The following is a 16,811-nucleotide window of genomic DNA, read 5'->3' on the forward strand; positions in this document are numbered from 1 at the left end:
AGAAAAACTGAGGAGAACATGTTCATTTTCCTATTTTTTTTTCAGTTTTGCTCAAGTCTGCTTCAGTTAAGCCAGAGACTCAACTTCCTTTGCAAAAGAAAAGGACTTTTCCTGCAGTTTATTACAGCCTGTCAGAGGTATTAGGCAACTAAGAAACTCATTTTGAAATCTAGCAGCAATATTTAATCAGACATTTTGAAACTTACTTATTTTTTTTTTGAGATGGAGTCTCGCTCTGTCGCCCAGGCTGGAGTGCGGTGGAGCAACCTTGACCCATTGCAACCTCCAACTCCAGATTTAAGTGATTCTCCTGCCTCAGCCTCCCAAGTAGCTGGGATTACAGGCGCACACCACCACGCCCAGCTAATTTTGTATTTTTAGTAGAGACGGGCTTTCACCATGTTGGTCAGTCTGGTCTCAAACTCCTGACCCCAGGTGATCTACCCGCCTTGGCCTCTCAAAGTGCTGGGATTACAGGTGTGAGCCACCATGCTCAGCCGACATTTTGAAATTTAAATCATCAAAAACATTAGAGACATTTCTCTCAAATGGAACAGTTCAGCTACTTACAGGCCATTGTGTGGTAAATGCTGGGCCAGTATTGACCACTGTCTCTTTTCAGCCATACCCGGATGGTTCTGTGGAGAAAAGAAAAGAAAAAATAGAGTAGGTTTTAGTAATTTTATCTTTTGTGTTCCATGAGAACTTAATTTTTAAAATTTGTTTAACACTATTTCCTAACTGACCTTATAAAACTAACTGGACAAACTGGACAAATATATACATACATGTACACATACATATATAGTATATAACATATATATTATATACAGATACATATATAGCATATTGTATATGCACACCATATACATATACATACTATATATAGTCACATAAAGTATGATGATATAAGGTAAGTTATGCAGTACCTAGGAGTCAGGATTTCAAATCATTTCAATAATATGAAAATGTTCGGCCAGGCGCGGTGGCTCACGCCTATAATCCCAGCACACTGGGAGGCCGAGGCAGGCGGATCACGAGGTCAGGAGATCAAGACCATCTTGGCTAACATGATGAAACCCCGTGTCTACTAAAAATACAAAAAACATTTAACTGGGCATGGTGGCGGGCACCTGTAGTCCCAGCTACTCAGGAGCCTGAGGCAGAAGAATGGCATGAACCCGGGAGGCAGAGCTTACAGTGAGCCGAGATTGCGCCACTGCACTCCAGCCTGGGCTACAGAGTGAGACTCTGTCTCAAAAAAAAAAAAAAGAAAAACAAATGTTCATTACAAAATGACATAGAAAGAAAACAGAACTGTTAACTGCTTTTCTTGGTAAAAACAAATTATGTGCACTTGGTGGTTGACCGTCTGGGCCGAGAGGAAGGCGGTGGCTGTGAGTGGGAAGAGGCTCATGGAGGAGTGGCATGGAGAGGGGCGCCACGCACACCAGGAGCACACAGCAGGCTCGGGCTTGGGCATGGCAATTCTGCCTTCTGCTCCCCAGAGGAAATCATTCCACACCACATCTCTGGGGCCCTCTTTCATCGGAACATGCACAGGGTGATGAGGAAATCCTGTGCCCATGCAGGAAAATGACAAACGACCAAAATAGCCAAAGTTTAATATTCAGGTTTATGACCTCAGAGAAACAATGGGAGTCCTGCAGTTCCTGCTCCTGCACTCTCAGGGCCTCTGGGCGCCAGGCCTCTCCATCTCCTGCATCCCTAGGACACCGGGGATTCCACAGGTGATCGCCCTGCTCTGCCTCTGTAGTTACTCATAACCACCTTACTGTCCCCACTGCCAACTCGGTGACAATCACTTTTATGTTTCTCATTCATTATTTATTTATGGGACAGTGTCTCACTCTGTCACCCAGGTTGGAGCGCAGTGGCACGATCTCGGCTCACTGCAACCGCCACCTCCCGGGTTCAAGGGATTCTCCTGCCTCAGCCTCTCAAGTAGCTGGGATTACAGGCGCACGCCACCACACCCAGCTAATTTTTGTATTTTTAGTAGAGATGGGGTTTCATTATGTTGGCCAGGCTGGTCACTAACTCCTGACCTCAAGTGATCCGCCTGCCTTGGCCTTCCAAAGTGCTGGGATTACAGGCGTGAATCATCACACTCGGCCCTTATTTATTATTTTTTAAGATGCAGTCTTGCTCTGTGGCCCAGGCTGGAGTGCAGTGGTGCAATCACGGCTCATAGCAGCCTTGACTTCCCAGACTCAAGCAATCCTCCCACCTCAGGACCCCAAGGTGCTGGTATTAGAGGCATGAGCCACCACACGTGACCCATTTTTGTATTTCTAACGGCAATGTAGATTCTGGCATAAGTAGGAGCTGAATAAATGCTTACACCCTTAACCTAAAATACATGAAGCCTAAATATTGATACCATATGTTTCCAGTTTTGAGGCCTAGACAAGTAAAACTGGGTGGTGGGATGCATAGGCAGCGTGTCCTGGAGGCAGCGTCCTCCCTGACCCTTGAGACCAGGGAGACCCTCACACACCCTGACCATAGCACTTCCCAGGAGGTTCATCCACTCTCCTCGACACAGTGCCAATTACCACAAGGCCTGCAAGCCAGACCCATGCAAGCACAAGGCAGAAACCATTTGTTTGTGGCAATGAAGGGCATGATAAGACCTTCGTCAGGGACTCCCACCTGAGTCCCCACGTCCTCATTCACACTGGAGGAAAGCTGTGCGGCTGGTGGCTATAAGCACAAATTCAACACAAAATCAAACTTGAAGAAATATTTTCAATGCAAACTTGAAAATGCACAAAGACAACAGGTATGCGATTTGAAGGCTGTCAGAAGATCTTTAAGAAGCATCAGCAGCTGGACATCCACCAGGGCCAGCACACCAGTGACCCGCTGCTCAAGTGTGCCCAGGGGGATCAGGAAGCACCCACTGCACCCAGCAGGCTGGGCCCACGCGGCCAGGCCCATGAGGGCTGCACAGTATATAGCAAAGGGATGTTCCCTGGTGGCCAAAACATAGAACTTCTGAAACATGAGAGAAACTCCTAAGAAGGAAATATTAATAACATGTGCAGTATGCCAGGAAATATTTACATGGAAAGATGATTTTCAGCAGCACATGAAAACATATCCAAGAAAGAGACATGGGTTGCTGCCCAAGAGAAGAACAGGGTGGAACCTGCACAGCTGTATGTAACCTCCAGAGCCACAGTCTCCTTTCAGGAGTAAGAGTGCCCTGTTGTGTGTGAACACGCCGGCTGTGGGAAACCTTGCAGGAAACCTTGCAATAAAACAAAGTCTCACCAGGCATGGCTGGTGCACGATCCTGAGGAGAAAATGGAGCTCAAAGTAAAACCATCTCGTGAAAAATGGAGTTTGGCCCTTGCCTCAGTGGATGCATCCCTCCTCAAGGGAAAAAGATGGGCAAGGCTTATCTTTGCTTAAAACAGAGAGTGGCTGAACCGTACGGAAGACAAGGTACTCTCGACAGTGGCTATCCTCGCCTTCAGCTAAGCATCACATCGCTTTGTTTACAGGACTGCGGACCAGTGGGCCTGGTTACCTTCCCTCAGAAGTCTGTTTTTCTTTATTAAAATCACTGATGTAAAACAACGACAAAAAATACAAGTCAAACTGATCAGAGACCAGAGGGACAATCAGAATAGTGGTTGCTTCTGGGGTAAGAGGAGGACTGAATGCAATCAGAAGAGAGAAAACTTTCTAGGGGAACATCAAGGCTCCGGGTGTTGGTAACCATGGATATATGTATTTGTTAGAACCTGTCCAACTCTACCCAAGATCTGTACACACTATTATATATGATTAAAAGTAAAACTAGTAGTTGGTCTTTATTTATCCAAACAAATAAGATGACCTAGCACCACAGTGAGATTAATGCTATTCTGTATGTGAACTGGATAGAAACAAGCCTTAGGGCTAACACAACTGGATTAATCCTTTAGATCCACCAACCAATTGATAGGAAATACAGAGGACATGGGAACATACTGAGCACCATTCAGCAAAGTCAAGACTGCAGGAAACTCCATAGAGAAATGACTCACTTTCTTCTACAAATAATTTGCAAGGGAAAAAAAAATAGAGAGGAAGAACAAACCTATGATTAAAGAGATTTTAGAGGTCTATCCAGCAATTAAAATAGGTAGACTTACTTAAATCCTAATTCAAACTAAAAGATATGTATAGATATTTGAGGATATTTTAAAGATTTTTTTTTTTTTGACAGGGTTTCGCTCCGTCACCCAGGGTGGAGTGCAGTGGTGTGATCACAGCTCACTGAAGCCTCGAACTCCTGGGCTCAAGCGATCCTCCCACCTCAGCCTCCTGAGCAGCTGGGACTACAGACGTGTACCACCACACCTGGCTGTTGCTCATTCCTTTGGGTGTGTTAATGGTGTCGCTGTTTGTTTTTTAAGAATTAAACGATAATTCCCATATATCACGTTTGCCATCCTCATTTGTCATCCTCAGCGTGACTACCACAGTCTAGGTCCCATCTTTCACACAGCAGTAGGCCTGCTCTCACAGGAGTAGTGGACTCTTGCCTCCCTCTGCTCCACCTCCAGTGTGCTGACCCCCAGCTACCTCTCCCAAGGAGCCGCCTGGATCACAGTGCCCCTATGCTCAGAACCCACCAGTGGTTATCTCAAATCCAGATTCAACTGACAACCTTAGCGCCTATGACTCCCCATCCCAGAGCCTGCATCCCAGTGAGCTGTCATCCTCACATTCCCTGAATACGTCCAGCTCAGGTTATGCCCTAAATCCACCTTCCTCCCCACCCTACCAAGAACTCTTCTCTCCAGACAGTGTTTTCTGAGCAGATCACAGGATGGATGCCATTTCAGCATAACTTCTTCATCTAAAAGAATCAGTGGATGCTTCTATCCAATGATGATCCTTAAACATGAACAGCCAATATATTATTGCAGTGAGTTGACTATATTCCATATTACTTAAATCAGAATGTTTATGGATACATTCCGACATAGGGGATGAAGCCAAAACCATTGAAATAAACAAGAGGCCAACTTCCTGCTAAGCATTAACTCTGTTCAAGGATTCTCCTCCACCTCCAAACACACAGTGACAAAGGCCAAGGCACCTGGAGATCAAGGATTCATGCAGCAGCACTTCACACTCACAGGCTTCATTCGTACAATCACAAAGTAAACCTGCCAGCTGCCTGTGTGTTCGGGTTTCTTAGGTCAAAGGAAGAACAGAATGCTGACATGTTCTAAAACTCTTCAAATCAATTCCAGCAATCTTAGGTCATGAATGTGTAGGTGGCTCAAAGGATCTAGTGGCATGTGCTCTTGCTCAGTGCTCATGGAAAGAAGGGCACAATTCAGAAATCAGAGAACTCTGCTGGGAGGAGAAAATCTTAAAGGTTGTCTCTTCCAACCAAGTATTTAACCTGGAAAAGTCTAATGTTAATTTCATACAGCTTTAGAATACTTAAACTAGCCCAAAGTCAAAATCGAACCTACTTAGATTCCAGCATTTTGAACACAGTATTACTTCCTTTGGAAGACAAACATCAGCATATAGTTTGGTTGGCACAAATTGGACCTATGCTGGGACCCATCTAATAAACTAGGAAATTGTCAAGACTTCCACGATCTCTTAGGCTTTTTGTTTGAAAACTGTCGGTCACATCCCAGCTGAGAGAAGGCCCTCCTTGTCTGGGAATCAGGTTCCAAATGAGGCAACTGGCCTGGATGGTTGGCGCTACCTTTGTCTTTACACCTTCATCTGGCATTCCCTTCCATCTCTTTTCAAACCAGACCCTTCCTCTTCCAAGACTAAATCAAACCAAAGTTTAACCCTTAACACTATTGTACCCCAAGAACCTATTAAACAGAGATGCTCATTTCTATGAGTAATATACGAATGTATTTTGTATTATGTCCAGAATATTTACCAAATGGTTGTAAAAATAGTTTTAAGTTGGGCCACTTATTTAAAATACAACAAATTCCAGACTAAAAAATTACTATCCAGTAAATTGGAAGTAAAATCTACTATTCAGTAAGTTGAAAGCAACATAATAATAGTTTAGTAATATTTACAGGAGCAAACTATTTCAAAGTCTAGGATAATATTAATAAACTGTAATCCCAGCACTTTGGGAGGCCGAGGCGGGTGGATCACAAGGTCAGGAGATCGAGACCATCCTGGCTAACATGGTGAAACCCTGTCTCTACTAAAAATACAAAAAATTAGCCAGGCGTGGTGGCGGGCACCTGTAGTCCCAGCTACTCGGGAGGCTGAGGCAAGAGAATGGCATGAACCTGGGAGGCGGAGCTTGCAGTGAGCCGAGATCGCGCCACTGCACTCCAGCCTGGGCGACAGAGCAAGACTCCGTCTCAAAAAAAAAAAATAAATAAATAAACCGTCTAATCACTGAAGTGTCAAGATCAGATGGTATTATTTTTTGTATAAATCACAATATTTTCTGTCTAGATTGAATGTCTAAACCACTCTCTCCACTAAGATAAAACAGCTTATGTTTTCCTTTAATATTTTGACAATTTTACACCCACATAAACTCATCTTATGTTTTTCCTGCTGCTTATTCTGCCCATTTTTCTAATGGCTGGATTTTCTTTTATATTCCAGGACCACATCAATCTGGGGAAAAGAAATCTTTCCTTAAAACCACAACCTTAGAAACGTGTTCATTCTTTTCCAAGCTCTATTTTTAAGTTGTTTTAAAACAATAGTCTGATATTTTTCCAAAAGATCCTTAGAAAGGAAATGTGTCATTGCTTTCAGAGCCTAATAAATCTTTTCCAAACTTCTCCATGCTACCATTCCTGTGGAGGGCTTCTACCATCTATCTCCTCTGCACTTTTAGAGAAGCAAGGACTTGCATATAGCTGCAATATCTTCCAGGAACAGATGAGAAAAGGTATCTCCATATATGACTATGTTATACATATATAACTTACAGGGTATGCACGCCACTACCATCACTTTATTTATTTATTAAACAGAGTCTCACTCCATCACCCAGGCTGGAGCGGTATGGCACAAGTTCAGCTCACTGTAACCTCTGCCTCCTGGGTTCAAGCGATTCTCATGCCTCAGCCTCCCCAGCAGCTGAGATTACAGGCATGTGTCACCATGCCTGGCTAATTTTTGTATTTTTAGTACAGACAGGGTTTCACCATGTTGGCCAGGCTGGTCTTGGACTCCTGGCCTCAAGTGATCTGCCCGCCTCGGCCTCCCAAAGTGCTGGGATTACAGGTGTGAGCCACCGCACCTGGCCCCATGACTTTATTTGTTTATCATTGTTCAGCACTGTAGATGATTCATTTATTTTCCAAGTAAATAAAATTCCAAAATTGATTCTTTTTTATGCTAAATGTTTCAGATTAAAATGTTTTTAAAATGTACTGCTGTGCAGGGAAAGCAAAGGAACAACTCAAAACAATAACAAAATGCCACTTCTAGGGCTCTCATACTTCTTTGTCAGAATTGTAAATTAGAACTATTTGGCAAGAATTTTGCTCCAATATAGAGAGAAACAAATACACCTGCCCAATAATAATGACAACAACACTAATGATAAACTTTGATTAAGGAATTCCAGGCTTGGAAATTGGTTCTATAGAAATCATTTAATAGAATAAAAAAGGAACTACAAATTTAAAAAACTTCATATAAGCTTTATCCAAGGAGTAAAAATGGGGAAAATATGTTAAAGAATGAAATGGGTTAATGATAGAGTAATTCAATAGCTTATATAATCATTACAAATAGTTATGAAGTCCTGGAGCCCCAATAAAATGTTTATGAAATGGTCAGCTTTTTTGTTCCTAAAAAAAAAAAAAAAAAGCATAACACAGAGATTATTATAACCCTCAGAGATATTGCAGGTTTATCACAATAAAGCAAATGTCGCAACAAAGTGAGTCACACAAATTTTTGGTTTCCCATATGCAAGCTGTAGTTACACTATAGTCTGTTAAGTGTGCAGTAGCATTACATCTAAAAATCAATGTACATACCTTAGTTTTAAAATACTTTATTGCTAAAAAAAAGTTAACGATCATCTGAACCTTCAGCGAGGGGTAATCATTTTGCTGGTGGAGGGTCCTGCCTCAATGTTGATGCTGCTGATCCATCAGGATGGTTGTTGATGAAGGTTGGCGTGGCTGTGGCAACTTCTTAAAATAAGACAACCAAGAAGTTTGTTGCATCGATTGACTCTTCCTTTCCCAAAAGACTTCTCTGTAGCATGCAATGCAATTTAATAGCATTTTACCCATAATAGAACTTCTTTCAAAAGTGGAGTCAATCTTCTTAATGCCTGCTGCTCCTCCATCACCTAAGTTTATGGAATATTCTAAATCTTTTGCTGCCATTTCAACAATGTTCACCGCATCTTCATTAGATGTTGATTCCATCTCAAGAAACCACTTTCTTTGCTCATCCATATGAAACTCTTTAAACATTCAGCTTTTATCATGAGATTACAACAATTCAGTCACATCTATATGTTCCACTTCTAATTCTAATTCTCTTGCTATTTCCACATCTGCAGTTACTGAAGGCTTGAACCCCTCAAAGTTATCCATGAGGGCTGGAATCAACTTCTTCCAAATTCCTATTAATACTGACAGTTTAACCTTCTCTCAAGAATCATGAATGTTCTCAATGACATCTAGAATGGTGAATCCTTTCCAGAAGGTTTTCAACTTACTTTGCCCAGATCTATCAGAGGCACTATCTACGGCAGTTATAGCCTTATAAAAAAATTTTCTTTTGAGACAGGGTCTCCCTCGGTTACTCAGGCTGGAGTGCAGTAGCACAATCAAGGCTCACTGCAACCTATGCTTCCCAGGCTCCAGGGATCCTCCCACCTCAGGTTCCCCAGTAACTGGGACTACAGGCACACACCACGACACCTGGCTAACTTTTTTAAGGCTTTTATAAAGTCTCATTCTACTGCCCAGGCTGGTCACTCAAGTGATCCTGCCACCTCAGCCTCCCAAAGTGCTGAGACTACAAGCATGAGCCAGTATGCCCAGCAAAAGTGTATTTTTTAAATCACAAAACTTGAAAGTTGAAATTACTCCTTGATCCATGAGCTACAGAATGAGTGTTGTATTAGCAGGCATGAAAAACAACATTAATCTCATGGTATGTCTCCATCCTCAGAGTTCTTGGGTGACTAGGTGCATTTTCAATAAGCAAATATACATACATTTACATATATATGTGTGTGTATTTCATATATATACAAATATGTGCGTGTGTGTGTGTGTGTGTGTGTATGTGTATTTTTGAAACAGAGTCTCACTCCATCACCCAGGCTGGAGTGCAGTGGCACAATCTCAGCTCACTGAAACCTCTGCCTCCTAGGCTCAAGCGATTCTCATGCTTCAGCCTCCTGAGCAGCTGGACTTACAGATGTGCAAAACTGTGCCTGGCTAATTTTTGTATTTTTAGTAGAGCCGGGATTTTGCCATGTTGGCCAGGCTGGTGTCGAACTCCTGACCTCAAGTGATCTGTCTGCTTCGGCCTCCCAAAGTGCTGGTATTACAGGTGTCAGCCACCGTTTCCGGCCAACAAGCAATAATATTTTGAAAGGAATCTTTTTTTCTGAGCAGTAGGTCTCAACAATGGGCCTAAAATATTCAGTAAACCATGCTGTCAACACACATGTTGTCATCCAGGCTTTGTTGTTCCATTTATAGAGCACATGGCAAAGTAGACTTAACATAATTCTTAATGGTCTTAGGATTTTTGGAATGGTTAATGAGCAATGACTTCAACTTAAAGTTACCAGCTGCATTAGCCACAGAAGAAAGTCAACCTATCTTTTGGAGCTTTGAAGCCAGGCACTGACTTCTCTACTAGCTATGAAAGTCCTAGATGGCATCTTCTTCCAAAAGAATTGTTTGGTCTGCATTGAAAATCTATTGTTTAATGTAATTGCTTTTGCCAATTATCTTCACTAGATCTTCTGGATAACTTGCTGCAGCTTCTACATTAGCACTTGATGCTTCACTTTGCACTTTTATGTTATGTAGACTGCTTCTTTCCTTAAACCTAATGTGCCAATTCTGCTAGCTTCAAACTTTTCTTCTGTAGCTTCCTCACCCCTCTCAGGCTTCATAAAATCGAAGAGGATTAAGGCCTTGCTCTGGATGAGGCTTTGGCTTAAGAGAATGTTGTGGCTGGTCTGATCTTCTATTCAGATCACTAAACCTTTCTCCGTATCATCAATAAGGCTGTTTTGCTTTCTTATTCATGTTTTCACTAGATTAGCACTTTTAATTTCCTTCAAGAACTTTTCATTTGCATCCATAACTTGGCTGTTTGGTGCAAAAGGCCTAGCTTTCGGCCTGTCTCAGCTTTTGATGTGCCTTCCTCACTAAGCTTAATCATTTCTAACGTTTGATTTAAAGTTAGAGATATGTGACTCTTCCTTTCACTTGAACACTCAGAGGCTATTGTAGGGTTATTCACTGGCCTAATTTCAATATTGTTGTGTCTCAGGGAATAAGGAGGCCTGGGGGGAAAGGGGGAAAGGAGGGAGGCAGGGAAAGAGGGAGGGAGAGAGAGAGAGACAGACAGACATAGGGTAACAGCCCGTTGATGGAGTATTCAGATCACACACACTATCATTTAAGTTTGCCATCTTATGTGGGCACAGTTTGTGGCTCCCCAAAACAATTACAATAGTAATATCAAAGATCACTGAACACAGACCACCACAACAGATATAATAATAAAGTTTGGAATATTGCAAGAATTACCAAAATGTGACACAGAGACACAAAGTGAGCACAATGTATTGGAAAAATGGCACAGATAGACTTGCCTGGTGCATGGTTGCCATAAACCTTCAATGTGTACAAAATGCAGTATCTGAGAAGCACAATAAAACAAGGTATGCTTGTATCAAATCATATAACTAAATTATGCAACCACACTACATCAGGCTGGGCAGGGCAGGTAGGGAGGCTGATAAAGGACAGGAGAAGGGGAGGAGAAGAGAACCCACCTCCAAGGCAGACAATGTCCTGGGCTCCTTGTGAGAACCCCAGAGAAAAGATACGGAGGCTGAGTTCTGGCAGAACAGCAGGATACCTGCTGACCGACCTCCCCAGTGAGCCACAATTAAACATTTTGCGCAATGAGCCTTGAGGCACTTAGGGACTTATTTTATGTGGTTTTCAAGAGTGGCTACCTAAAATTCTACATGTTAAAATGTTCCACTCCCTAAGAGTCTATCCTTTAAATTGCTGTCCCCACCAAAAGCAAAAACAGAAGTCATTGGAATCCGAAGCAATTTCAAATATAGTGGCACAACTTTCCTTTTTTCCATAAGGCAGATGCCAGAGGCTTCAGTTGTCCATCGCTGAGTACACTCACCCTGGCCTATGCTGGCCTTCAAATGAACTTGTGCCTTGGGTCAGGCTTGGGATTCTGGAGCACCATCTGCCCCCAGTGAGTCTATTAGTGGATTCAACGTGTCTGCAGATGTTATTGCAGGGGGGGTGAGAGAGCCCCAGGACCAAAAAGGAGACATGGACCTGGACACCAGACTAGAGGTGCCTGGGTAGCCAGGGGCCTTGATAGCATCGTTCCCAAAGGAGCAGTGAGCAGAAGGCAGAGCCAGCAGAGCTGGCCAAGACATCAGATGCAGAAGGACAGTGAAGGAGAAGATGCTCCCAAAAGGCACCTAGCTCTTGGGCCTGAAAGTTATAAGGCAATAAACTGTGCCTCTCCATCAGCATGTGTCCCTGTCTAACTTCTTTTTTTTTTTCTTTCTGTTTTTTGTTTTTTTTTTTTTTTGAGACAGAGTTTTGCTCTTTATGCCCAGGCTGGAGTGTGATGGTGAGATCTCTTCTCACTGCAACCTCCGCCTCCCGGGTTCAAGCGATTCTCCTGCCTCAGCCCCGCTAGTAGCTGGGATTACAGGCACCCACCACCATGCCCAGCTAATTTTTGTATTTTTAGTAGAGATGGGGTTTCACCATGTTGGTCAGGCTGGTCTTGAACTCCTGACCTCAGGTGATCTGCCCACCTCGATCTCCCAAAGTGCTGGGATTACAGGCATGAGCCACCGTGCCCAGCCTCCTGCTTAACTTCCTGCAAGCTCACAACACTGAACTGTTGTGGCACACACAAGAATGTTCCTGCATTCTAGACACACATCAAGATTCGTGAAAAGCAACTCTGTGATTTCCCACCTCCCTGCACCTCCCTGAACTTCCCTCTACCACCTTCTCTAAAAAAAATTTAAAAAAATAAAGATTCATGAAAAGCTTGTGGTCTGTTGAGAACGAGGTGCCACATCCTGATGGCAGGGATGACAGGCGCTTCTGCCTTCATTTTACACTTAAGGAAGCAGAAGCAAGGAGAGATACGATCTGAAAATCACACAAACCAACAGCAGCACTGCATCAGACTGACTTCATTTAGTTGTTTGACCAACTTTCTCTCTTATCAAGATGGTGAAAGTTCATCTTTAAAACATTATCAAAGTAAACAATTCAAAGCAAAGCAGCCTTATGTGGTAAGTAAGTAAAACTTTTTTAAAGGCTTTTTAGAAATCCACACTTTATCCTCCAAAGCAGTAATTCCTAAACAATAAGGAAACAAGAAGCAGTAAATTACTTTTTCCCCCCAAATAAATCAGAGTATGGAAAAGTTCAGGTCTAACTTCAAAGCTCACTTGGTTCAAAGAAATACTGACCTCTGTGCTAAATACGAGTGGTGATTCCAACAAAGTCTCTCACTACCTCCAGCTCTAGATTTAGCCCAATCTAGCTACAGCGTGCGATATTGTATGTAAGTGCCTGTGGTGAAACAATTTAAAAAACAATGTGCTCAATTCTTTACTCCTCCCTGCATCCACGCTCCTTACAATCAGCCATTTTGCAGCTCTTTCCATCAAGAGATGGAATATATTTCTCTGAGCCTTGTTTTTGTTTTGAGACGGAGTCCGGTTCTGTCACCCAGGCTGGAGTGCAATGGCTTGATCTCGGCTCACTGCAACCTCCGCCTACCGGGTTCAGGCGATTCTCTTGCCTCAGCCTCCTGAGTAGCTGGGATTACAGGCATGCGCCACCACGCCAGGCTAAGTTTGTGTATTTTTAGTAGAGACGGGGTTTCACCATGTTGACCATACTGGTCTCGAATTCCTGACCTCACGTGATCCGCCCTCCTTGGCCTCCCAGGCATGAACTGCCGTGCCTTGCCTATTTCTCTGAGCCTTGAATATGGGTTGGCTAGTGACGCTATGTTTAAAAAAATGTGGCTGAATGGGGTGCTAGTACTGGGTCCTGAGGCCTGGTTTGCTCTCACTCTGTGTCTTGGAAGACTGCCACGTCACATGAACCACAGGGGCCAGCCTACCAGAGGACAAATGACGACATGGGAGAGAGCTCAACTGTCCTAGCTGAAGCCATCCTCGGCCCGCCTGTAGCAAGCTCACTCCCAGGCATGAGAAAGAGTCCAGCTAAGCTCAGCAGAGCTGGCCCACGGCTGGCCACAAGCATGAGTGAGCCTGGCTGAGGCCAGAAGCACTGCCTAGGTGACCTGTAGGCTCATGAACAATGACAAATCCCTGCTGTTTTAAGCCACTGAGTTTTGAGGTAGTTTGTTATGTAGCACGAGCTAACTGACACCATGCTTTCTGTTCCAAATAAATAATATACCTTTAAGAACCATAGGAATCTGAGGTTAAAATTAAAAATAAAAAGCATTTGGCATTTATTGAATGCCAAGGATTTTAAAGTAGATAGTACGAATAACTCCATTTCAACTCTTAATTGAAATACAGGATTCCCATTTTGCAAAAGTGCTAATTTGAATCCTTAAAAATGGAAGCAGTCACTGAAGTACAAAATAAAGTTATTACTCTTAAATATCATATAGTAATGTTTGTTATCCTGTCTACCAAGGATAAAACTTCTGTATGCTTTACCTTCCTATAGTAGATATATGAAAAGTGGAGTTATAACCACAGTTATGATTAAGAATAAAGTGTTTATTCCAGGGAGATTAATCTTTGATCTGCTGAAAGATATGCCTGATGATCATAATAAGTAGAAGGATTCCTTTTTATTTCTACTGTTAAACTCTATCAAAGAGCCAATTAAAAATAAGGTTAAAATACACTTAAGGGAATCACTAAGTCTTGAAAGCCTCATCTATTTAAGCCACAATACAGTAGGAGCAAAGATAGATTCAAGGTACAATTTTTTCCTCTGAAAAGCACTGGCTCACAAACCAGGAGGCATCTTGCAGGAGTCATTAATATTTTTCTTTCTTTTTTTTTTTTTTTTTTGAGACAGAGTCTTGCTCTGTTGCACAGGTTGGAGGCAGTGGCGTGATCTCAGCTCACTGCAGCCTCTGCCTCCCGGGTTCAAGCAATTCTCTTGCCTCAGCTTCCCAAGTAGCTGGGACTACAGGCATGCACTACCACACCCAGCTAATTTTTGTATTTTTAGTACAGACAGGGTTTCGCCATGTTGGCCAGGCTGGTCTTGAACTCCTGGCCTCAAGTGGTCCACCTACCTCGGCCTCCCAAAGTGCTGGGATTACAGGCGTGAGCCACTGCACCTGGCCTAATTGGTCTAATTTTTTTTTTTTCCCCATACCAGAAAGGGCACTGGAAATATTTTTAAACCTGTAATTCCATAAGGGTATACATTTGGGTTCAATACATATTTTCTAGTATGTATTACCAGTATGAGTACCTTTTTTTTTTTTTTTTTTTTTTTGAGACGAAGTCTCGCTCTGTCACCCAGGCTGGAGTGCAGTGGTGCAATCTCGGCTCACTGCAAGCTCCACCTCCTGGGTTCACGCCATTCTCCTGCCTCAGCCTCCCGAGCAGCTGGGACTACAGGTGCCTGCCACCACGCCTGGCTAATTTTTTGTATTTTTAGTAGAGACAGGGTTTCACCGTGTTAGCCAGGATGGTCTCGATCTCCTGACATTGTGATTCGCCCACCTCGGCCTCCCAAAGTGCTGGGATTACAGGCATGAGCCATGGCGCCGGGTCGATTACCTTGAAATTGATGTCCAGACTTTAATAAGCAGACTCAACTAGCACATAATTATTTCTACAAAATCACACCAAGTTCTACCTGGCCTGAAACAGCAATATCTCTGAAACTGAATATCTTTTTTAAACTTTCTCAAAAACACACCCTAATCACTCCAAAAACAGCTAAATTAAAGCAATTTAACCATCCTTAAATTCTAAACTGATAAAAAGAGATCATTCAATTAATCATTTTAAAAGGGCATACTATATGTTACAAATTAAGTCCAAGGTCCTGATTTCTTTTAAACTCTGGGCAAACAGTAATTCTGAGAAAATCTGATTTTCTGGTCATTCTTAGGGATGCTGATACTATTTCAAATCTTGGTAAATCTGTGAACATTTCTGTCACCTATAGCAAAGGATATTTTTTCCTAGTCTGACAGTACCTCCAGGGGATACAGGAAAAAAAAAAAGTGTACTTCTGGCATGCTAGATGGTTTCTATAACATTAAGACGTTTGCCTGAAAGGGGGAACGAACAACATAGCTATCATTGCCATCTGTTTTTATCGAATAAATAGCAATTTCCTTCCAACGAGTCTCTGGAATTCTGCCCTGTTCATTCTTGCTGCAAAAAGAAGTCTTTCTCCTTTGGTAACAGGGAGAGAAAATGTTAGATTGTTATTGAATTTATTCTCTAAATTAAAAGGCAGAGAAACCAGCCTCATTTTGTAGAGGAGAATTAGATTGGCTGAGAAAAACAGAAATTTCCATCCCCTCCCACAGGACAGCTTCAAGGGTCTGTGACCAAGAATTAGACTGCTGATGTCACCACAGGCAGATTTTATCCAGGGAAGAAGCCACTGGGTGGCCCCAGCATTTGCACCCCCTTTAAACAAATATCACCCTTCCAGAAGCCAGATTGGCTGAAAACCTGCAGATTTTTTTTTTTTTTTTTTACTCCAAACCATTCTTGCTGTAATCTTTTCACTGTTAGCATAAAAATAATTTTTTGTGATCCTTGTGCCATCAAGAAGCCTAGAAACCACTCTAATCACTGAAGAGCAGGAATAATCTAGACAGGCTGGAGTCCATGGAGGATCTAGGCAACACTTTCTTACATTACAAAGTCTGGCCAGGCACAGTGGCTCAGACCTGTAATCCCAGTACTCTGGGAGGCTGAGGTGGGAGGATCACTTGAGCCTAGGGGCTTGAGACCAGCCTGGCAACATACCAATACCCTGTCTCTACAAAAAATAAAAATAAATTAGCTGGGCATGGTGGCACACGTCTGTTATCCCAGCTACTTGGCAGACTGAGGCTGGAGGATCACTTGAGCCCACGAGTTCAAGACCAGCCTGGGCAACATAGTGAGACCCCCCCCCATCTCTACAAAAAAAAATCAAAAATTAGCAAGGAGTGGTGGTACATGTCTGTGGTCTCAAACTCAGGAGGCTGAGGTGGAAGGATCGTTTGAGCCCAGGAGGTGGAGGCTACAGTGAGCTCTGATTGTGCCACTGCACACCAGCCTGGGAGACAGAGTGAGACCCTGCCTCAAAAAAAAAAAAAAAAAAAAGTCTCGAACCCTATCCATGGCCTAGAAGTCTTAAAACACAAATTAAAGGAATCACAAAGAAGCACAGTTTCTAATAAGGAATAGCAGCCTTTTTCTTTTCTTTTTTTTTTTTTTTTTTTTTTTGAGAAAGAGAATCTCACTCTGTCACCCAGGCTGGAGTAAAGTGGCACAATCTCAGCTCACTGCAACCTCCGCTTCCCAA

At 42.8% G+C, this 16,811-nt stretch overlaps 1 protein-coding gene and 1 pseudogene across 1 annotated transcript in view, besides 1 other annotated feature; one reads left to right on the forward strand and one right to left on the reverse strand.

Moving 5' to 3' along the window:
- The window catches only part of WDFY1 (WD repeat and FYVE domain containing 1), a 69,988-nt gene that overhangs the window by 42,025 nt on the left and 11,152 nt on the right, over positions 1 to 16,811 (reverse strand). Inside the window, exon 2 of the mRNA NM_020830.5 lies at positions 571 to 638. Within this exon, the coding sequence (NP_065881.1) occupies positions 571 to 638 (68 nt within the window). The remainder of the gene's footprint in view (positions 1 to 570; positions 639 to 16,811) is intronic.
- Positions 2,523 to 3,504, forward strand: GTF3AP3 (general transcription factor IIIA pseudogene 3; annotated as a pseudogene).
- Positions 4,582 to 5,082: an enhancer, noted in NCBI's record as "H3K27ac hESC enhancer chr2:224786671-224787171 (GRCh37/hg19 assembly coordinates)". NCBI's record gives its function as "activates a minimal SCP1, AML or CMV promoter by ChIP-STARR-seq in primed H9 embryonic stem cells {active_cell/tissue: H9 hESC(primed)}" and the evidence as "EXISTENCE:reporter gene assay evidence [ECO:0000049][PMID:30033119]".

The sequence above is a fragment of the Homo sapiens genome, chromosome 2 (assembly GCF_000001405.40).
Source record: "Homo sapiens chromosome 2, GRCh38.p14 Primary Assembly".
Classification (NCBI taxonomy): domain Eukaryota; kingdom Metazoa; phylum Chordata; class Mammalia; order Primates; family Hominidae; genus Homo; species Homo sapiens.